General features: G+C 52.2%; 6 annotated features.

Annotated features, from left to right (window-relative positions):
- Positions 648-942: a silencer, noted in NCBI's record as "tiled region #987; HepG2 Repressive non-DNase unmatched - State 23:Low". NCBI's record gives its function as "represses a minimal TATA promoter and a strong SV40 promoter by Sharpr-MPRA in HepG2 cells {active_cell/tissue: HepG2}" and the evidence as "EXISTENCE:reporter gene assay evidence [ECO:0000049][PMID:27701403]".
- Positions 10,671-11,232: an enhancer, noted in NCBI's record as "H3K27ac-H3K4me1 hESC enhancer chr22:43144579-43145140 (GRCh37/hg19 assembly coordinates)". NCBI's record gives its function as "activates a minimal SCP1, AML or CMV promoter by ChIP-STARR-seq in primed H9 embryonic stem cells {active_cell/tissue: H9 hESC(primed)}" and the evidence as "EXISTENCE:reporter gene assay evidence [ECO:0000049][PMID:30033119]".
- Positions 15,747-16,322: an enhancer, noted in NCBI's record as "H3K4me1 hESC enhancer chr22:43139489-43140064 (GRCh37/hg19 assembly coordinates)". NCBI's record gives its function as "activates a minimal SCP1, AML or CMV promoter by ChIP-STARR-seq in naive H9 embryonic stem cells {active_cell/tissue: H9 hESC(naive)}" and the evidence as "EXISTENCE:reporter gene assay evidence [ECO:0000049][PMID:30033119]".
- Positions 16,508-16,802: a silencer, noted in NCBI's record as "tiled region #8887; HepG2 Repressive non-DNase unmatched - State 8:EnhW". NCBI's record gives its function as "represses a minimal TATA promoter and a strong SV40 promoter by Sharpr-MPRA in HepG2 cells {active_cell/tissue: HepG2}" and the evidence as "EXISTENCE:reporter gene assay evidence [ECO:0000049][PMID:27701403]".
- Positions 16,899-17,474: an enhancer, noted in NCBI's record as "H3K27ac-H3K4me1 hESC enhancer chr22:43138337-43138912 (GRCh37/hg19 assembly coordinates)". NCBI's record gives its function as "activates a minimal SCP1, AML or CMV promoter by ChIP-STARR-seq in naive H9 embryonic stem cells {active_cell/tissue: H9 hESC(naive)}" and the evidence as "EXISTENCE:reporter gene assay evidence [ECO:0000049][PMID:30033119]".
- Positions 18,629-19,205: an enhancer, noted in NCBI's record as "NANOG-H3K27ac hESC enhancer chr22:43136606-43137182 (GRCh37/hg19 assembly coordinates)". NCBI's record gives its function as "activates a minimal SCP1, AML or CMV promoter by ChIP-STARR-seq in primed H9 embryonic stem cells {active_cell/tissue: H9 hESC(primed)}" and the evidence as "EXISTENCE:reporter gene assay evidence [ECO:0000049][PMID:30033119]".

Here is a 22,809-nt window from a genome sequence, read left to right as displayed (position 1 = left end):
ACCTAAGGTCGGGAGTTCGAGACCAGCCTGACCAACATGGAGAAACCCCGTCTCTAATAAAAAGACAAAACTAGCCAGGCGTGGTGGCGCATGCCTGTGATCCCCGCTACTTGGGAGGCTGAGGCAGGAGAATCACTCGTACCCGGGAGGCGGAGGTTGCAGTGAGCCGAGATCGCGCCATTGCACTCCAGCCTGGGCAACAAGAGCGAAACTCCGTCTCAAAAAAAAAAAAGAAAAGAAAAGAAGGAATTGGAGAAACTGTGCTGGGTGGCGTCCAGCCTCGTGAATCTCTTACAAAACCAACATTACTCACCAAAGCTTTTGACGTGTTTTGTTTTGTCTATGGGAGTGGGAAGGAAGATGGGAGAAATGCTGAGGGCGGCCTCCAGGTGGGCAGGGGGCAGACACTGCCATGGGGGTCCTGCTAGACTCCGCGCCGCTGCGCAGGGAAACCATTGCCGAGGGTGGGCAGGGAAGCAGCCTCAGAGACCACCCGAAGCAGCACCGCTAACACCCACGGCACCCGCTCCCCGCCTCCTGCCTTCCTCCTCTTCCACTCTAGACGGCTTTCTAGCAGGGGAGCAGGGATGCTGACCCTTCCAGCTCCCTCTGCCTTAGCCGCTGAGCGCTGACTCGAGGTTAACTAAAATCCCAGGAAAGGACTCTTGATTGGCACTGGTCAGGGCCTGCCCCCTGACCAATTAAGAGTGGCCAAGCAGTGATATCACATAACAATGGTTGCTCCTGGGGGTGTCCCACAGTTGGGGAGCAGTTTGAGGAGGGGTGGGGAGGGTTCAGGACAGGCAGAATAGCAGAGGGAGGAGCGCACTGCCCAAGGGACTTTGCGTCTCTGCACCCTGCAAAGTATATTTATCCTCAACTCACAGATGAGGAGTCCACAGCCAGAGAGGGTCTGTGATAACAGCTGCTGAATGGAGGAGTCATGAGTGCCAGTGCCCGGACTCACCTCCTGCACCACTGCCTGGCCTTGGATCCTACCTTTTCTAGGTGCTCACGTATTCTTGCAAGATCTTTTATTTTATTTTTGAGATGGACTTTCGCTCTTGTCGCCCAGGCTGGAGTGTAGTGACGGGATCTTGGCTCGCTGCAACCTCCACCTCCCGGGTTCAAGTGATTCTCCTGCCTCAGCCTCCCAAGTAGCTGGGATTACAGGTGCCCACCACCACGCCCGGCTAATTTTTTCTCTTTTTAGTAGAGATGGTTTCGCCATGTTGACCAGGCTGGTCTCAAACTCCTGACCTCAGGTGATCCTCCCGCCTTGGCCTCCCAAAGTGCTGGGATTACAGGCGTGAGCCACTGCACCTGGCCTGTCCTTGCCAGATCTTAAGGCCTTGAAGACAGAAACCACGCTGGATCTTTTCTCTCATCCCCAGAGCTCGTTTCTCCAGGCTGGATCTGGGTAGTCCCTGGCTGCTACCAAGGGCTCCTCCGAGGAGTCTGCAGTGATGGAGAAGGAGCCACAAACCCATTTGTCACCTAAATTTCCCAGATGTGCAATGTCAGAGTGGTCCTGATGATTCATAGAAATCTCTCTATGTTCTTTTATTTTTTGTTTTTGTTTTTAGAGACATATCTCACTCTGTCACCCAGGCTAGAGAGCAGTGGTACGATAATGGCTCACTGCAGCCTCGAACTCCTGGGCTCAAGTAATCCTCCCAACTCAGCCTTCAGAGTAGCTGTGACTATAGACAAGCATCATCACACCCGGGTTTTTAGATTTTTTTTGTAGAGACAGGGTCTCATTATGTTGCCCAGGCTGGTCTCAATCTCCTGGCCTCAAGTGATCCTCCCACCTCCCAAAGTGTTGGAATTACAGGTGTGAGCCCGGCTTAGCCCCATGTTCTTAACAATCCTTACATCCTCAGGGGCTGAGCGTGAGCCCCAGGACTGCGCCAGCCAGCTCACCTCAGATGCGGTGTTTGCATCTGATTTGCCGGTTAAAGTCTCCATGTGTTAAATTTGCATTTCCCTTGTTATTACGATATTAGGTTTTATTCCCAATACTCAGAGCTAGAATACATGGCTCAAAGTGATTCACGGAGGCATGCAGGAGTCATGTGATCCCACCACGTGGAACGATCTTGTAAACATAAACAAGGGGCAGGGGAGCCATGCAAATGCAGAGAGGGTCCCCTGCCAGCTAATCCGCAGGTGCAACTGGAAAGAGTAAGCAGGCAGGACAGCCAGGAGCCTGACTGGACAGGCGGGACAGCAGGGACTGACTGGCTCCCACCTAACCCCAGCTCCTGGCAGTGGCTGTGATGCTGCTGTGAGTGCAGAAGAGGCCAGGAGCTCTTTTTTTTTTTTTCCTTTTGAGACAGAGTCTCGCTCTGTCGCCCAGGCTGGAGTACAATGGTGCGATCTCGGCTCACTGCAACCTCTGCCTCCTGGGTTTAAGTGATTCTCCTGCCTCAGCCTCCTGAGTAGCTGGGATTACAGGCATGTGCCACCACGCCCGGGTAATTTTTGTATTTTTAGTAGAGACGGGGTTTCACCATGTTGGTTAGGCTGGTCTCGAACTCCTGACCTCATAATCAGCCTGCGTTGGCCTCCCAAAATGCTGGGATTACAGGCGTGAGACGCTGTGCCCGGCCAGGAGCTCTTTTTCGAAGTGGGCGCTTTGTCTTCTCTAAATTCATAGGGGTTTTTTTTTTCCAGAACAAGCAAAAAATAATTATTTGCAGCAGAAAACGGATTAATTTTTACACTAAAGGCAGAGATGTCCAAATTATAGAGACACCATTCAATGTCCCCTTCCCTCTGGCAAGAAAAGAGAAACAGGTCACACTGTGCTGAGAAGGCAGGAAAACCTGCTTGTTGTGACTGAATTATGTCCCTCCAGATCCACTGGCTGAAACCCTAACTCCCAGTACCTCAGAATGGGACCGTATTTGGAGAGAGGGTAAAGGGGTATTTAAGTTCAAATAAGGTCATATGGGTGAGTATTTAAGTTTTTTAAAAAAGGCCATACTATCCTTATGAGAAGAGATTAGGCTGGGCGTGGTGGCTTACTCCTGTAGTCCCAGCACTTTGGGAGGCCAAGGCAGGCATATCACTTGAGCCCTGGAGTTCGAGACCAGCCTGGGCAACATGGCAAGACCTCATCTCTACAAAAAAATATGAAAATTAGGGCTGGGTGCTGTGGCTCACACCTGTAATACCAGCACTTTGGGAGGCCAAGGCGGGTAGATCACCTGAGGTCAAGAGTTCGAGACCAGCTTAGCCAACATGGTGAAACCCTGTCTCTACTAAAAATACAAAAATTAGCCGGGCGTGGTGGCAGGTGCCTGTAGTCCCAGCTAGTTGGGAGGCTGAGGCACGAGAATTGCTTGAACCGGGGAGGCAGAGGTTGCAGTGAGCTAAGATTGCACCACTGCACTCCAGCCTGGGCACCAGAGTGAGACTCCATCTCAAAAAAGGAAAAAAAAATTAACTGGGCACTGTGGCATGTGCCTGTGGTCCCTGCTACTAGGGGAGCTAAGGCGGGAGGGGCTTGAGCCTGGAAGGTCAACGCTGCAGTGAGTCAAGATTGCACCACTGCACTCCAGCCTGGGTGACAGAGCGAGAACCTGTCCCCCCAAGAAAAGAAGAAGAAGGGATGAGGACATAAACACACACAGAGGGAAGGCAGCACAAAGACTCGGGAATGAGAAGGTGGCCATCTCCAAGTCAAGGACAGAGGCCTCAAAAGACACCAACCCCACTGACACCCTGATCTTAGACTTCTGGCCTCTAGAGTTGTGAGAAAATAAATTTCTATTATCACAGTGGTGCACACCTGTAGTCCCAGCTACTCAGGAGACTGAGGCAGGAGGATCGCTTGAGCCCAGGAGTTTGAGGCTGTAGGGCTCTGTGATTGCATTTATGAATATCCCCACCGCCCTCCTGCCTGGCAAAACAGTAAGACTCTGTCTCTTTAAAAGATAAATAAATAAATAAATATTAAAGTAAACTGTTGTTTAATCTACCCAGTCTGTGGTATTTTGTTACGTCAGCCTAAGCTGACTCATACAGTGCCCCAGAGTTCATCTCAGATATTATGTTCAGAAAGTATGATGTTCTATTAGCAAATTTTTTTTTTTTTTGAGAGGAGTTTTGCTCTTGTTGCCCAGGCTGGAGTGCAATGGTGTGACCTTGGCTCACCACAACCTCCGCCTCCCAGGTTCAAGTAATTCTCTTGCCTCAGCCTCCCGAGTAGCTGGGATTACAGGCATGCACCACCACGCCCAGCTAATTTTTGTGTTTTATAGTAGAGACGGGGTTTCTCCGTGTTGGTCAGGCTGGTCTCGAACTCCCGACCTCAGGTGATCCACCCCGCCTCGGCCTCCCAAAGTGCTGAGATCACAGGCGTGAGCCACCGTGCCCGGCAGCAAATTTTTTTTTTTGAGACAGGTCTTGCTATGTTGCCCAGGCCGGTCTCGAACTCCTGGGCTCAAGCAATCCTCCTGCTTCAGCTTCCCAAAGTGCTGGGATTTGCCACGTGCAGTGGCTCACGCCTGTAATCACAGCACTTTGGGAGGTTGAGGCGAGTGGATCACCTGAGGTCAGGAGTTCGAGACCAGCCTGGTTAACATAGTGAAACCCCGCCTCTACTAAAAATACAAAAAAAAATTAGCTGGCCATGGTGGTGGGGCAGGCGCCTGTATTCCTATCTACTTGCAAGGCTGAGGCAGAGGGATCGCTTGAACCCGGGAGGCGGAGGTTAAGATCGCACCACTGCACTCCAGCCTGGGCAACAGCACAAGACTCTATCGCAAAAAAAGAAAAAAAAAAAAAAAGAAAGAAAGTCATCAGTCCAAAGTGCTGGGATTACAGCTATGAGCCACAGTGCCCAGCCCAATGACTAGCAATATTTTGACATTTTGACAAAGCTACCAATGTCTTGGCTCTCAGCCCCTATGCAGAGCAGGAGTGAGGGAGGAATGTTTGATGACTTTGTTCTGCTTATCACTGAGCACCCAAGCTCAGGGAAGGGCTGTGCGTGCGTGTGTGTGTGCGCGTGTGTGTGTTTATCCATGGCCCTGCAAATCAGGAGCCCAGGCTATGTGGCCCCTCCAGCATGAGTGCTGCTTCTCGATTTGACCAGGCTGAGGATCAAGTCAATGATTTTTTTTTTTTTGAGACAGAGTTTTGCTCTTGTCACCCAGGCTGGAGTGAGATCTCCAATGGTGAGATCTTGGCTCCTAGGTTCAAGTGATTCTCCTGCCTCAGCCTCCCGAGTAGCTGGGATTACAGGTGCCCACGCCTGGCTAATTTTTGCATTTTTCGTTTTTTTTAGTTTTTTGTTGTTCTTGTTGTTTGTTTTGAGACAGAGTCTTGCTCTGTCATCAGGTTGCGGTGCAGTGGCACGATCTTGGCTCACTGCAACCTCCGACTCCCCAGTTCAAGCGATTCTCCCGCCTCAGCCTCCCAAGTAGCTGGGATTACAGGCACACACCACCACACTCAGCTAATTTTTTTGTAATTTTAGTAGAGACAAGGTTTCACCATGTTGGCCAGGATGCTCTCGATCTCCTGACCGCGTGATACGCCCGCCTCGGCCTCCCAGAGTGCTGGGATTACAGGCGTGAGCCACCTCACCTGGCCAATAATGTATTTTTAGCTACATCTAAATGCTTTGCCAGAGAAAGAACCTTCTCCAAAGCCAAATGTCACCAGAGAGAGGCTTAAAACTCAGCTAGCCAGGCACACGCCCGGGTCAAGAGGGTGACGTGCTGCTGGTGCGTCGCCAGGACCACACCATGGGCAGCCTCCTGAGGAAACATCACCAGCTTCTGAGGCCAGCTTTTACCCGAACACCCAGAAGGGTCCCGTCTTAGCCCATCTGGGCAGGTGTGACAAATACCCCAGGACCAGGAGGCTTCTAAACAACAGACACTTCATTCTCAAAGTCCTAGAGGCCGGAAAGTCCAAAAGTCAAGGCACTGGCAGATTCTGTGTCCCGTTCAGAATTAGTCATTCTATTTATATATTTATTTTTAGGCCAGGCACGGTGGCTCACGCCTGTAATCCCAGCACTTTGGGAGGCCAAGGTGGGCAGATCGCTTGAGCCCGGGAGTTCAAGACCAGCCTGAGTAACATAGTAAGACCTCATCTCCACAAAAAATCAAAAAAATTAGCCAGGCATGGTGGCATGTGCCTGTAGTCCCAGCTACTTGGAAGGCTGAGGCAGGAAGATCACCTGAGCCTGGGAGGTTGAGGCTGCAGTGAGCCATGATTGCAACACTGCACTCTAGCCAGGGCAACAGAGGGAGACCCTGTCTCAAAAAAAATGTAAAGAAAGGCCAGGCGCGGTGGCTCATGCCTGCAATCCCAGCGCTTTGGGTGGCCAAGGTGGGTGGATCACTTGAGGTCAGGATTTCGAGACCAGTCTGGTCAACATGGTGAAACCTTGTCTCTACTAAAAATACAAAAAATTAGCTGGGCACGGTGCCATGTGCCTGTAATCCTAGCTGCTGGGGAGGCTGAGGCAGGAGAATCACTTGAACCCGGGAAGCAGAGGTTGCAGTGAGCTGAGATCGCACCACTGCACTCCAGTCTGTGAGACAGAATGAGATCCCGTCTTTAAAAAAAAAAAAAATGTAAAGAAAAAAAAAACCTGAAAAATCCCCTTCAGTCCAGAACCCCCGAGCCATGCGTCATGGGGCTGTGGCTGATTTTTAATCTGCTGGTCTTGTGCGTTTGCAGAGGGACTTTGCCAGAACTGGAGTAATTTGGTTAAGGCCGAAGCTCAGTGGACACAGACAGCTTGTCCTGGGTCCTGGGAGGGTGACAGGAGGAGGCTGCAGGTTCCCAGAACCACAGCCCTCACAGCTGGAGGGGGATTGGGAGAGACCCCCTCCCTGCACAGCCCCCAGTAACCAGTGTGTCACCCCAAGCCTGGGAGGGAAGGATGATTACTCTTCCTAGTTTACAGACGAGGAAACTGAGGCTCTGAACAGCCCACAGTCTCACAAAGAATGAGCAGCTGAAAGATGCTAACCAGGCCTGTTGGAGTCCACAGCCTCGTCTGCCTCTCGGGACAGGTGCTGCCACTGAACGAGGTGGCTGAGCTGATCCGGGGTGCCCTCTCCCCAATACCTCTTTCCCATGGGTCCCTCGCATGCCAGGAAGCTCCCTTTCCAGAGCCAGCCTTTGGAGTCCGGCAGAGGATCTGCCCAGGTCACTTCCTGGGGACTTGCCTTAGCTGACCCCCCCAGCTGGACAGCAGGGAGGGGGCTTGGGAAATGTCAAGGAGGAGGACCACGGGGTTGGGGGAGCCTTCACGGCGTCCACCCCTCTCCTCACTTCCCCTTCCAGCCTGGCCCTGGCCTTTCCGCCCCTCCTTCTGCTCCCCATGGGCACCCAGGCACAGATGTGGCCTGTTAGTGCTATCCGAGAGCTGTGGGGGATGCCTGTCACCTGTGTCCATGACTCAAGGGATAATTCTAAGTCCTCTCTCAGCTCCCAAAAGGCTGACCCCACCCTGCGCAGCACGGTCCTTTGTCCTGCTTTCCTGGGGGAACCACTTGTAAGTTGATTTGGGAACTCGTCCTAGCTCCAGATTGTTTTGCTTTATTTCAAATAACAGGTCAAGGCAGCTTGAACAGGGGCGTGAAAGGAAGTCAGAGGCAATCCCGGGGCAGCGGCCCTGCAGGGCGGCCCCCCACCCTGAGGTCTCCCACAGACTGGCTAGGTTTCAGGGCCATCTGAGGACACGGCTGGGACAGGCCCCCACCCCTCGTCACCTGGCCTTGCACTGTGTTTCAGCATCTGGGGTGGGGGTGTTCCATGGGCAGATACGAAGTCTCACAGTTTCCTAACAGGAAACGTGGGGCGTGGAGGCCTTCTTCGGGTCCCAGTCCACTGGGGTTAAGAAGAAGGGCTTGGGGCCAGGCACAGTAGTTCATGCTTGTAATCCCAGCACTTTGGGAGGCCAAGGCGGGCAGATCACTTGAGGTCAGGAGTTCAAGACCAGCCTGACCAACATGGTGAAACCATGTCTCTACTAAAATTACAAAAGAAATTAGCCAGGCGTGGCCAGGCGCGGTGGCTCATGCCTGTAATACCAGCACTTTGGGAGGCAGAGGCAGGCGGATCACAAGGTCAGGAGTTCAAGACCAGCACGGCCAACATGGTGAAACCCCATCTCTGTTAAAAATACAAAAATCAGCAGGGCGTAGCCGGGCACGGTGGCTCACGCCTGTAATCCCAGCACTTTGGGAAGCCGAGGCGGGTGGATCACTTGAGGTCAGGGGTTCGAGACCAGCCTGGCCAACATGGTGAAACTGACTCTACTAAAAATACAAAAATTAGCTGGGCATGGTGTCATGCGCCTGTAATCCCAGCACTTTGGGAGGCCTAGGCGGGCAGATCACCTGAGTTCAGGAGTTCGAGACCAGCCTGGCCAACATGGTGAAACCCCGTTTCTATTAAAAGATGAAAATTAGGGCTCTTGGAGGGGAATCAAACACAGGGAGTAGCTCTCCCTCTCCCTGTCCCTGTCCCTGTCCCTCTCCCTCTCCTCATGGTCTCCCTCTCCCCATGGTCTCCCTCTCCCTCTCTTTCCACGGTCTCCCTCTCATGCCGAGCCGAAGCTGGACTATACTGCTGCCATCTCGGCTCACTGCAACCTCCCTGCCTGATTCTCCTGCCTCAGCCTGCGGAGTGCCTGCAATTGCAGGCGCGCGCCACCACGCCTGACTGGTTTTCGTATTTTTTTGGTGGAGACGGGGTTTCGCTGTGTTGGCCGGGCTGGTCTCCAGCTCCTAACCGCGAGTGATCTGCCAGCCTCGGCCTCCCGAGGTGCCGGGTTTGCAGACGGAGTCTGGTTCACTCAGTGCTCAGTGGCGCCCAGGCTGGAGTACAGTGGCGTGATCTCGGCTCGCTACAACCTCCACCTCCCAGCCGCCTGCCTTGGCCTCCCAAAGTGCCGAGATTGCAGCCTCTGCCCGGCCGCCACCCCGTCTGGGAAGTGAGGAGCGTCTCTGCCTGGCCGCCCATCGTCTGGGATGTGAGGAGCCCCTCTGCCTGGCTGCCCAGTCTGGAAAGTGAGGAGCGTCTCTGCCCAGCCGCCATCCCATCTAGGAAGTGAGGAGCGCCTCTTCCCGGCCGCCGTCACATCTAGGAAGTGAGGAGCGTCTCTGCCCGGCCGCCCCGTCTGAGAAGTGAGGAGCCCCTCCGCCCGGCAGCCGCCCCGTCCGGGAGGGAGGTGGGGGGGTCAGCCCCCCGCCCGGCCAGCCGCCCCGTCTGGGAGGTGAGGGGCGCCTCTGCCCGGCCGCCCCTGCTGGGAGGTGAGGAGCCCCTCTGCCCGGCCACCACCCCGTCTGGGAGGTGTGCCCAACAGCTCATTGAGAGCGGGCCAGGATGACAATGGCGGCTTTGTGGAATGGAGCGGGGGGAAAGGTGGGGAAAAGATTGAGGAATCGGATGGTTGCCGTGTCTGTGTAGAGGGAGGTAGACATGGGAGACTTTTCATTTTGTTCTGTACTAAGAAAAATTCTTCTGCCTTGGGATCCTGTTGATCTGTGACCTTACCCCCGACCCTGTGCTCTCTGAAACATGTGCTGTGTCCACTCAGAGTTAAATGGATTAAGGGCGGTGCAAGATGTGCTTTGTTAAACAGATGCTTGAAGGCAGCATGCTCGTTAGGAGTCATCACCACTCCCTAATCTCAAGTACCCAGGGACACAAACACTGCGGAAGGCCGCAGGGTCCTCTGCCTAGGAAAACCAGAGACCTTTGTTCACTTGTTTATCTGCTGACCTTCCCTCCACTATTGTCCTTTGACCCTGCCAAATCCCCCTCTGTGAGAAACACCCAAGAATGATCAATAAAAATAAATAAATAAATAAATAAATAAATAAAAAAGAAAATTAGCTGGGCGTGGTGTTGTGCACCTATAATCTCAGCTACTCGGGAGGGTGAGGCAGGAGAATCACTTGAACCTGGGAGGCACAGGTTGCAGTGAGCCGAGTTTGTGCCACTGCACTCCAGCCTGGGTGACAGAGTGAGACTCCATAAAAAAAAAAAAAAAAAACAACTCTGTGAGGCCCACACTGTAAGGAAGCACAGAAGTAGCAAAGGCTTTGCTGAGTATTGGGAACCTACCCTGGGCAACAAGCTCAGACCTGCCTGGGAAGGAGCTGTGCCCAGCAATGATGCAATGATGAAATGATGCTTTTTTTTTTTTTGAAAGGCATGTGCCACCATGCCTGGCTAATTTTGTATTTTTAGTAGAGACGTGGTTTCACCATGTTGGCCAGGCTGGTCTCGAACTCCTAACCTCAAGTGATCCACCTGCCTCGGCCTCCCAAAATGCTGTTATTACAGGCATGAGCCACCGCGCCCAACCAGTGATGCTTATTTTTTCTGCCAGTGGTGAGGCTGCGAACACAGGGACCATGGGAGTGGGAGCAGCCAGCCTGAGGACGGACAGTAGTGCAGGGGCACCCCCACCTGGCATGGGAGGTTAAGAGCCAGCCACCAGGCCTACATGGCTGGGGAGGGTGGATCCCTAGCTGCCAGGAGAGGGTGGTGCCACTGGGGAGGCCACAGAATGTCCTCTTCGAGTCCCTGAGCCTGCATCCTGCAGGCTGCAAAGCGCAGTTGCCTGGAGTAGCTGGTGCCGACTGGGATAATAACCAAGCGCTTCTCATTGCTGTGGGGGCATCTCTCTTTCCCATCCCAACAAAGAGGCCAGGCCTTCGGCTCGCTTGTCTCTGGGAAAGCAGACAGAGCGGGCAACCAGATCACAGCCTCCCTGGCCAGCACCCACACACCCTGGAGTGGCAGAAACTGGGGCTCCCTCAGAGGATTAGGCTGGGGCAAGCAGGAGGGCAGTGGGTTAGAGGCAGGTGCAGGCGGAGGGGAGGGATTGGCAGCCTCCCCACCTAAGCCTCGGAAGGGATGAGGCCCCTCCTAGCCTCAGATGGGAGGACCCTGGGAATGTAGCTGCAGGGGAGCCCAGGATAGCCAAACCCTGGAGATAGGGGTCCCAGGGAAACTCCTTATAAAATTTATAAAATTAATCAGGGGCTCGGTGCAATGGCTCATACCTGTCATCCCAGCACTTTGGGAGGCTGAGGCAGGCAAATCACTTGAGGTTAGGAGTTTGAGACCAGCCTGGTCAACATGGCAAAACCCTGTCTCTACTAAAAACACAAAAATTAGCTGGGTGTGGTGATGGGCGCCTGTAATTGCAGCTACTCGGGAGGCTGAGGAAGGAGAATCGCTGGAACCAAGAGGCAGAGGTTGCAGTGAGCTGAGATTGCGGCACTGCACTCCAGCCTGGGCGACAAGAGCCAGATTCCATCTCAAAAAAAAAAAAAAAAAGTAATCAGGGAAGAGGAGGGAAAAACGGAAACAAGCCAAGCTTGCAAGCTACTCAGCATGAGCTCTGAGAGCAGCCTGCTCTCTGACCAGCTGCCTCACAGCCATGCAGTGCCTGTGGCGGCCTCAGAATCACACAGACCCTGTCGCAGGATGCTAACACCCCTTAACTGCTCTGTAGACAGCCACTTGTATGTCATGAAACGTTCACTTTTGCATTTGAGATATTCTTTCAGGGCCTGCATCCGGATGAAACTACTGACGCCAGCTAGTCTGAAAGATCCCACAAAGAACTGACTCACAAAAAAAAAAAAAAAAAAGCCATTTCCACATCCTGACGAATTCATCTCCCTGCCCCCACCAATCAATGACTCCAGTTTTCCAACCCCTTGACTTCTTTATAGGATCCCCGTAAAAGCCCCAGCCCGGAACTCCTCTGGAGGTGGATTTGAGGGTCCCCTCCCAGTTCCTTGCTCTGTGCTCGGCAATCATTAAACTCTTTCTTTGCTGCAAACCCTGCTGTCTCAGTGTCCTGGTCTGCTACTGAGCAACAGGCATGCAAATATGTCGGTCCTATGACACCAGCCTTAGCCAAACCCTAGGCCCAGGAGAGTCACACCCTAGAGGTCTAGACAAGAAGAGTGTCAGCAGGGACCATTTTGCATTGTAGACTACAGGCCCAGCTAATTTTTGTACTGTTAGTAGAGATGGGGTTTCATCATGTTGGCCAGGCTGGTCTCTGGTCTCGAACCCTTGACCTCAGGTGACCCGCCCGCCTTAGCCTCCCAAAGTGCTGGGGTTACAGGCCCGGAAGTTCCTTTTAATGAGTATAATAAAATCTTTACATCTTGTTTTTTGGAAAACGCTATATTTAAGCTTTGTTCTTAAAAGACTGTTTTCCTTGGTACACATTGCAAATTAATAGTTGTTTTCTCTTCACATTTTGGAAATATTATTCCACTGTCTTCCAGCTTCCATTGTCATTGAAAGCCTCCCTATTGTCCTCTAGGTTTGGTGGTTTTGTGTTTTTGTTTTGTTTTTTTAAATTGGTCAGGCGTGGTGGCTCACGCCTGTAATCCCAACACTTTGGGAGGCTGAGGCGGGCGGATTGCGAGGTCAGGAGTTCGAGACCAGCCTGGCCAACATGGTGAAACCCGTCTCTACTAAAAAATACAAAAATTAGCTAGGCATGGTGGTGTGTGCCTGTAATCCCAACTACTCAGGAGGCTGAGGCAGGAGAACTGCTGGAACCTGGGAGGCGGAGGTTGCAGTGAGACGAGATCATGCCACTGCACTCTAGCCTGGGCAACAGAGCAAGACTCCATCTCAAGACTCCAGCTGCGGTGGCTCATGCCTGTAATCCCAACACTTGGGGAGGCCAAGGCTGGCAGATTGCTTGAGTTCAGGAATTTGAGACCAGCAATGTGGTGAAACCCTGTTGTCACCGGTGGAGGTTCTTGGCATCTTGAACAAAGAATTGGACAAAATGCACAAACAAAGCAAGGAAGGAATAAAGGGATTTATTGAGAATGAATATACACTCTACGGTGTGGGAGCTGGCCTGAGCATAGGGGCTCAAGGGCCCCATTACAGAATTTTTGGGAATTTAAATACCCTCTAGAGGATTCCATTGGTTACTTAGGGTATGCCCTATGTAAATGAAGAGGATGAAGTAAAGTTATAAGGTTATTTACTTGGCCTATGCCCTGTGGAGAGGATACTTCCTGTCATAGCTGAAGTGTGAATTGGCCTTATGTGCCCTGCCTCCGGACCCTATTTTCCTGCCTCACCATCTCTACTAAAAGTACAAAAGAATTAGCCAGACATGGTGGCACGTGCCTGTAGTCCCAGCTACCGGGGAGGCTGAAGTGGGAGGATTGCTTGAACCCCGGAGGCAGAGGCTGCAGTAAGTGGAAATCATGCCACTGTACACCAGCCTGGGCGACAGAGCCTGTCTCAAAAAAAAAGTCTCCCATTCATCACGCTGCCATGATCTGCAGCTTTCCAAAAGCATACCTAGGTTTAGATTCTTTTTATTTATCCTGCTCAATGTATGTTGTGACTCTATGTTTATAGATTCCTGACTTGCACCATTTCTAGAAAATTCTCAGTCATTAGAGGTTTTTTTTGTTTGTTTTGTTTTTGAGATGGCGTCTTGCTCTGCTGCCCAGGCTGGAGTGCAATGGTGAGATCTCTGCTCACCGCAACCTCCGCCTCCCGGGTTCAAGCGATTCTCCTGCCTCAGCCTCCTGAGTAGCTGAGACTACAGGCACCTGCCACCACGCCCGGCTAATTTTTGTATTTTTAGTAGAGATGGGGTTTCACCATATTGGCCAGACTGGTCTCGAACTCCTGACCTTGTGATCCGCCCGCCTCAGCCTCCCAAAGTGCTGATATTACAGGCATGAGCCACCACCCCCAGCAGCTTTTTTTTTTCTTTTGAGAGGCAGTTTAGCTCTTGTTGCCTAGGGTTCAAGCGATTCTCCTGCCTCAACCTCCTGAGTAGCTGGGATTACAGGCATGTGCCACTACACTGGCCAATTTTGGTTTTTTATTTTTTATTTTTTGAGACTGTGTCTCCCCCTGTCGCCCAGGCTGGAGTGCAGTGGTGTGATCTCGGCCCACTGCAACATCTGCCTCCCAGCTTCCAGCGATTCTCCTGCCCCAGCCTCCCAAGTAGCTGGGATTACAGACGCCTGCTACCAGGCTGGCTAATTTTTTTATTTTTAGTAGAGATGGGGTTTCACCATGTTGGCCAGGCTGGTCTCGAACTCCTGACCTCAGACAATCTGCCCGCCTCAGCCTCCCAAAGTGCTGGTATTACAGGCGTGAGCTGTGACCATGCCCGGCCATTAGCTCTTTATTTGCTGCCTCTCCTCGCTCAACTCCTGGGACTCAAGATTAGGCTCCGTGAATGTCCCCTGGTGGGTGGTGGACAGGTCTAGACAAACCTGCCCCAAAAGTCTAAGGAAGCTAAGAGGCTGAAAAAAGAGGCTGACAAATCTGGCTTCTCAGGAAAAAACGTTTAATAGGGCCTTATGAACAGAAGCCATGTCTGTGTGTAAAGCAGCGAGACAAGAGGTGGATCGCCACACTCTCACTCCCAGACCCAGGGCTTACATAGCCTGGGAAAGGGTGAGTCAGAGGGACGAGCAGGCCACTTGAAGTATGATAACATTAAGATTGTTTGACCTTAGGGCAGGATTTATAGTAAGTGTGTGCTCTTACACAAGGAACAATAGAGAAACTGGAAATCTTTTTGTTTTTGAGTCGAAGTCTCACTTTGTCGCCCCGGCTGGAGTGCAGTGACACGATCTCGGCTCACTGCAACCTCTGCCACCGGGTTTCGAGGGATTCTCCTGCCTCAGCCTCCCGAGTAGCAGGCACAGGCCACCGCGCCCGGCTTATTTTTGTATTTTTAGTAGAGACGGGGTTTCGCCATGTTGCCCAGGCTGGTGCCCAACTCCTGACCTCAGGTGATCCACCCGCCTCAGCCTCCCAAATTAAAGGTTCTCGTATCGGTTCCAACCCCGAGAGCGCGCCAACAGACAGCACGAGGCAATGTGGGGGCAACACGCTGTTTTAATGAGCGATTACGTGCAGGTGGGCCGAGACCTAAAATGGCGTCAGCACCAAATGAGGACGGAGTGGGGGTTTTATAGTCTCCTGTAAACAGGAAGTGTCCCAGTCTGACGTGACTGCTACATGGTACCCGGACGGCCTCCCACTCGATCTTCAGCGAGTATGTGTCTTCCGGCCAGGTAGGTGTTTTCTGCCCGGCTCTCTTCCTGCTTCGGCCATGCTGCTGGCGCTTAAGTAGCCTTGCGCCTTGGGACTGGGCCTGAGAAGGGAGGCGTTACCCATCCCTTCAAGCTTTCAGGCCCCGGGGAGAATCACCAAAGTGCTGGGATTACAGGGGTGAGCCACCGCGCCCGGCCAAACTGGAAATGTTAGAGGCCTCCCAGAACTGGGATTACTCAGAAGTCAACATGGCAGATTAGCGTCCAAGATGGAGCTGCTTTGACAGCCTCGACCTCCCCAGCTCAAGTGATCCTCCCACTGGGACTACAGGCATGCACCACCGTGCCCGTCTAATTTTTTATTTTATTTTTAAATTTTATTTATTTATCTTTTTTGAGATGGAGTCTTGCTCTGTTGCCCAGGCTGGAGTGCAGTGGCGCAATCTCGGCTCACTGCAACCTCCGCCTCCCAGGTTCACGCCATTCTCCTGCCTCAGCTTCCGGAGTAGCTCGGACTACAGGTGCCCGCCGCCACGCCCGGCTAATTTTTTGTATTTTAATAGAGACGGGTTTCACCATGTTGGTCAGGATGGTCTCGATTTCCTGACCTCGTGATCCACCCGCCTTGGCCTCCCAAAGTGCTGGGATTACAGGCGTGAGTCACCGCGCCTGGCCTTTATTTTTTAATTTTTTTAGAGACAAAGTCTCACTATGTTGCTCAGGCTGGTCTCAAACTTCTGGCCTTAAGTGATCCTCCCGCCCGGCCTCCCAAAGTGCAGGGATAACAGGCGTCAGCCAGGGCTCCCAGCCTCTGTGTCTCTTTATTGCTATTAATATTTCATCCTCTTTCCTTCTCCACGTCCTCCCCGCCACTTCCTGGCTTCCCTCTCACGCTCCAGGCCTTGCCAGGGCCCCACCCGGCCTCCAGGGATGTTCCAAGGCCCAGCCTGCCAGGCTGAAGTGAGTGTTCTCTGGGTTCAGCTGAGAACAGCTGGAATCTACCCCAAAGCAAATTTCCTAGGTAACTTTAGGGCAAACAGAGGCCAAACAATGGAAAGAATAGAGGCCCCCAGAGGGAGAGACCAAAGGGGCCGCCATGGGCTGTCCCCGGGGCTGGGCCTGGGCTCTGCTCCAAATGCCTGCCCTCCTCCCCACCAGAGCCTTCCTGCCTCAGGCTCTGAAGATTCAATCACTAGGGGGACCCCAGAGGCTCTTTCTCCCCACCCCCACACACTACTGATCCCCTGGCGGGGAAGGTGAGAGGGCGCAGGTTGGGGGCAGGGCTGGAACCCCCCTAAGCCACAGACAAAACTGAAGAATGAAGTGTCTGTCCTCTGGGGGTAGGGGTTGGAACCCATGACAGAGGGTGCTCAGGCCCCCAGCCCAGTCCAAGTCCAGTCTGAATGTCCCCTGCCCCAGCCCTCACAGCTTTTCAATCTCCTGCCACCCAGGATGGCCGCTGCTGGGCCTGCAGGGTCCTCCCAGGACCCTAGGAGAGAGAGGATGCTCTGATCCACACAGCACTTCGCTACCCGGGACATGCAGAAGCCCCTACCCAGAGCGCGAGGGCCAGCAGACCCAGGGGGACCAATCCGAGTCCAGATCGGGGATTTTGCTACCTTGCACCCAGCTGATTGGCTCAAGGAGAACCAATCAGAACCCAGAGTTGGGATTTTGCAAACAAAATGCAGAAGAGAACTTTGTCTTCCCAGTCCCACGGAGAGCCAGTCTGTCAAGAACAGAGATGAGGAGTGGACAGGAAGAGAGTAGTGGGGGCATTGGAGCACTAGGCTTGGGGAGTTCCTGCTTGTCCGAATATTCGGTTTGGAATCTTGGCAATTCCACAAGCCAGTGAATCTTCTTTGTGGGTGAGTGAATGTGAAGTGGATTTCTGAAATTTGCAACTAAGAGAATCCTGATTCATTCAGTGTTCAAGGATATTTACATCTGGAAACAAAACAAACAGCAAAAACCTGGGCCCCATCACCCTGGGCTCCAAGCCGTGCGAGCTTCTCAGGAGAGTGGTCTATACCTGCTGTCTCTCCTTCCGAGGTCTGATCTCTCCATGCTGCCCACTGAAACCGCCCCCACCACTACCCCCACAAGGAGGCCAAAGACCTACGAGTCCCCGAGCCTGAGGGACACACTCAGCCATCATCTTCCTAAACCCTGCCAGGGCCTGATGCTGCCCGATACTCTCCTCTCCCTCAAGATTCTGTCCTGGCCTCTCACCCCTTCTCTTCCTCTCCTCCTCTGGGGGCCTCGCAGGCCAATCACAGCCACCTAAATCCTTGTCACTGGCCCAGCCCTCTGCCTGGAGGTTGCTCAAGGCACCTTAGTACGACATGTCAAAATCAAACTCACCATCTTTCCCTGCACGGCTGCTCCTACCCCCCGGCCTTTGTACAAGATGTTCCCTCTGCCCGGTGTGCCCTCTCCACCCTGATCCACTATAAACCAATTGCCTTTCCGGCTTCCGGACTCCCTGGCATCAGCCCACCCCCTGCAAAGCTTATTGCCCAAGCTTGAGGAGCCAGGTAGGGGGAGGGTCTGAGTTGTGACGTCCCCACTGAAGGAAATCAAAATATACCCCAAAATATGACTCCCTGCTATAATGAGCATTTGAATTAAAAACCCTTAGGCTGGGTGCCGTGGCTCACTCTTGATCTCACCACTTTGGGAGGCTGAGGCAGGTGGATCAACTGAGGTCAGGAGTTCGAGACCAGCCTGACCAAGATGGTGAAACCCCCGTCTCTACTAAAAATACAAAAATTAGCTGAGTGGCCGGGCGCGCTGGCTCACGCCTGTAATACCAGCACTTTGGGAGGCCGAGGCGGGCAGATCATGAGATCAGATCACGACCATCCTGGCTAACACGGTGAAACCCTGTCTCTACTAAAAATACAAAAAAAATTAGCCGGGGATGGTGGCGGGCGCCTGTAGTCCCAGCTACTCGGGAGGCTGAGGCAGGAGAATGGCGTGAACCGGGGAGGCGGAGCTTGCAGTGAGCGGAGATCGAGCCACTGCACTCCAGCCTGGGCGACTGAGCGAGACTGTCTCAAAAAAAAAAAAAAATTAGCTGAGGGTAGTGGCCCAGGCCTGTAATCCCAGCTACTCCGGAGGCTGAGGCAGGAGAATCACTTGAACCCCGGAGGTGGAGGTTGCAGTGAGCTGAGATCATGCCATTGCACTCCAACCTGGCAACAAAAGTGAAACTCCGTCTCAAAAAAATAAAAATAAAAATAATGGCTGGGCGCAATGGCTCACACCTGTAATCCCAGCTCTTTGGGAAGCCGAGGCAGGCGGATCACATGGTCAGGAGATCGAGACCATCCTGGCTAATACGGTGAAACCCCGTCTCTACTAAAAATGCAAAAAATTATCCGGATGAGGTAACGGGCGCCTGTAGTCACAGCTACTCGGGGGGCTGAGGCGGAAGAATGGCGTGAACCCGGGAGGCGGAGCTTGCAGTGAGCCGAGATCGCGCCACTGCACTCCAGACTGGGCGATAGAGGGAGACTCCGGAATGAATGAATGAATGAATAAATAAATAAATAAATAAATAAATAAATAAATAAATAAAAATTAACAACCCTGAGAGATCGGCAATGCAGGAAGAGCTTCCCCCCACCACCCCATCTACCTAAAGATGGGACTCACCCGCCAAGAACAGCTGTTCTTTTTGTCATGCATGTCCCTGTTAAGAGACCATCAAACAAACAGGCTTTTGTGTGAGCAACAAGGCTGTTTATTTCACATTTCACCTGGATGCAGGCGGGCTGAGTCCGAAAGGAGAGTCAGCAAAGGGTGGTGGGATTATCATTAGTTCTTACAGGTTTGGGGATAGGCGGTGGAGTTAGAAGCAACGTTTTGCGGGCAGCGGGTGGATCTCACAAAGTACATTCTCAAGGGTGGGGAGAATTACAAAGAAACTTCTTAAGGGTGGGGAAGATAATAAGAACCTTCTTAAGGGTGGGGAAGATTACAAAGAACCTTCTTAAGGGTGGGGAAGATTACAAAGAACCTTCTTAAGGGTGGGGAGATTACAAAGAACCTTCTTAAGGGTGGGGAGATTACAAAGTACATTGAACAGTTAGAGTGGGGCAGAAACAAACCACAATGGTGGAATGTCAGCAGTTAAGGCTATTTTCACTTCCTTTGTGGATCTTCAGTTGCTTCAGGCCATCTGGATGTATACCTGCAGGTCACAGTGCATATGATGGCTTAGCTTGGGCTCAGAGGCCTGACATTTTTCCCTCCCTGTTATGTCATTATCCAAAAATGCAGCCACACCTGAACAGATTCTTTATTTTTTTTTTTTGAGACCGAGTCTCGCCCTGTCACCCAGGCTGGAGTGCAGTGGCTCGATCTCAGCGTACTGCAACTTCAACCTCCCAGGTTCAAGCGATTCTCCTGCCTCAGCCTCCTGAGTAGCTGGGATTACAGGCACGTGCCACCACAGCTGGCTAATTTTTGTATTTTTAGTAGAGAAGGGGTTTCACCATGTTGGCCAGGCTGGTCTGGAGCTCCTGACCTCAGGTGATCCACCTGCCTCGGCCTCCCAAAGTGCTGGGATTACAGGCATGAACCACCTCGCCTGCCCACTGAACACATTCTTTCCAAGACAATGACTGTCTCCAGGGGTCGTTTAAATTCCAAAGAGAACGATTTAGAAATTAATCTCTGAGGCCGGGCTCGGTGCCTATAATCCCAGCACTTTGGGAGTCTGAGGTGGGCGGATCACGAGGTCAGGCGATCGAGACCATCCTGGCCAACATGGTGAAACTCCATCTCTACTAATATGCAAAAAAAAAAAAAAAAGTTAATATTGGTTCCCCATTTAATCCTTCTCCCTGGCAGTCATTTATTGCCCCACAACAGAATTCCTCTCTTCTCCCTTCCCATTTTACCAGGATCTAAGCCCCCATTCTTTCTGCAACCTCAAGGTGGTTTGGAAGTTTCTGCACCGCATTGGGAGGTTGGGTCTTCATTGTGAGTGCTCCCATGCATGCCCCCCTGATGAACCTGTGTGCCTTTTGTGCTGTGAATCAATCTGCCTCACATCAGTGATTACAGCTCTTGACCCCCCAACCCCCCTAACGCCAATCCCTTCATCTGTGGACCAGGAACAGTAGCCAGCTCACCTGCTTCAAGGGTTGAACTAAGCTCAAGTGAGGACTAGACCCTGAATGTTTCATGTGGGGAGCCTGGTCTGTTTTAAGAGACCAAAAAGGGGGTTGGAACTGTTAACAGGATTGGCTGGGCGCGGTGGCTCAAGCCTGTAGTCCCAGCACTTTGGGAGCCGAGGTGGGTGGATCACAAGGTCAGGAGATCTAGACCACCCTGGCTAACAGGGTGAAACCCCGTCTCTACTAAAAAATACAAAAAATTAGCCGGGTGTGGTGATGAGCGCCTGTAGTCCCAGCTACTGGGGAGGCTGAGGCAGGAGAATGGTGTGAACCTGGGAGGCGGAGCTTGCAGTGAGCCGAGATCGCGCCACTGCACTCCAGCCTGGGCGACAGAGGAGACTCCGTCTGAAGAAAAAAAAGAAAAAGAAACTGTTAACAGGAAAGGGGTCCCGATCCAGACACAAGAGAGGGTTCTTGGATCTCCCGGAAGAAAGAATTCAGGGCGAGTCCATAAAGTGAAAGCAAGTTTATTAAGAAAGTAAAGGAGCTGAGCACAATGGCTCATGCCTGTAATCCCTGCACTTTGGGAGACTGTGGCTGGCGGATCACTTGAGGTCAGGAGTTTGAGACCAGCCTGGCCAACATGGTGTAACCACGTCTCTAGTGAAAATACAAAAAAAGAGCCAGGCATGGTGATGCGCGCTTGTAGTCCCAGCTACTCAGGAGGCTGAGGCAGGAGAACTGCTTGAACCTGGGAGGCAGAGGTTGCAGTGAGCCGAGATCTCTCCACTGCACTCTAGCCTGGGGCAGCAGAGTGAGACTCCTCAAGAAAAAAAAAAAAAAAGTAAAGGAATAAAGAATGGCTACTCCATAGACAGAGCAGCCCCAAGGGCTGCTGGTTGCACATTTGTATGTTTTTTTTTCTTTCTTTCTTTCTTTCTTTTTTTGAGACGGAGTCTCACTGTGCTGCCCAGGCTAGAGTGCAATGGTATGATCTCAGATCACTGCAGCCTCCGCCTCCTGAGTTCAAGCGATTCTCCTGCCTCAGCTTCCCGAGTAGCTGGGACTACAGGCGCCTGCCACCACACCCGGCTAAGTTTTGTATTTTTAGTAAAGATGGGGTTTCACCATTTTGGCCAGACTGGTCTCGAACTCCTGACCACAAGTGATCCACCAGCCTCGGCCTTCCAAAGTGCTGGGATTATAGGCATGAGCCACCACGCCCAGCTGGTTATGTCTTAATTATATGCTAAACAAGGGGTTGGTTATTCATGCCTCCCCTTTTTAGACCATATAGGGTAATTTCCTGACGTTGCCGTTGCATTTGTAAACTGTTATGGATTGGTGGGAGTGTAGTCGTGAGGACTCTCATTGCCATCCTGGTTTTGGTGGGGTTTTTTTGTTTGTTTGTTTTGGTTTGGTTTTTTTGAGACAGAGTCTCGCTCTGTCACCCAGGCTGGAGTGCAGTGGTGAGATCTCGGCTCACTGCAAGCTCCGCCTCCCAGGTTCATGCCACTCTCCTGCCTCAGCCTCCCAAGTAGCTGGGACTACAGGCGCCTGCCACCACGCCCGGCTAATTTTTTGTATTTTTAGTAGAGATGGGGTTTCACCATGTTAGCCAGGATGGTCTCAATTTCCTGACCTTGTGATCCACCCGCCTCGGCCTCCCAAAGTGCTGGGATTACAGGCGTGAGCCACTGCACCCAGCAGTTTTGGTGGGTTTTGACTGGCTTCTTTACTGCAACCTGCTTAATCAGCAAGGTCTTTATGATCTGTATCTTGTGCTGAACTCCTATCTCACCCTGTGACTTAGAATCCCTTAACCATCTGGGAAGGCAGCCCAGTAAGTAGGTCTCAGCCTCATTTTACCCAGGTCCTATTAAAGATGGGAGTTGCTCTGGTTTCCATGCCTCTGACAAAACCACTTAGAGGTAGAAAGCCACATGTGAGCTGACTTTTGAAGAAGGCTCACTTCATTTGTAACCAAACACAGGTCCGGATGCCCACAGAGTCCAATTTACAAGAGTGAGAGTTCTGGCAGAAAGAAAGTGATTTTGGCCAGGCACGATGGCTCATGCCTATAATTCCAGCACTTTGGGAGGCCGAGGCAGGTGGATCACCTGAGGTCAGGGGTTCGAAACCAGCCTGGCCAACATGGCAAAACCCTGTCTCTACTAAAAATACAAAATTAGCTGGGTGTGGTGGCGCATGCCTGTAATCCCAGCTACTTGGGAGGCTGAGACAGGAGAATCGCTTGAACCTGGGAGGCGGAGGTTGCCGTGAACTGAGATCCCGCCATTGCATTCCAGCCTGGGCAACAAGAGCGAAACTCTGTCTCAAAAAAAAGGAAGAAAGTGATCTTGTTACTCAGAACTCCCAAAACTAGTAATGGGGAAGTAGCCGGACTCCCATCCAAAGCAACCACTTCAAATTTGGAGGGGGAAAGCAAGCGTTTAGAAAGGGAAAACTGGCCAGGAGTGGTGGCTCATGCCTGTAATCCCAGCACTTTGGGAGGCTGAGGTGGGCAAATCGCTTGAGCTCAGGCATTCGAGACCAGCCTGGGCAACATGGAGAGACCCTGTCTCTACAAAAATACAAAAAAATTGGCA

This window comes from Homo sapiens, chromosome 22 (genome assembly GCF_000001405.40).
Source record: "Homo sapiens chromosome 22, GRCh38.p14 Primary Assembly".
Classification (NCBI taxonomy): domain Eukaryota; kingdom Metazoa; phylum Chordata; class Mammalia; order Primates; family Hominidae; genus Homo; species Homo sapiens.
This window is presented reverse-complemented; position numbering and strand designations above follow the sequence as displayed.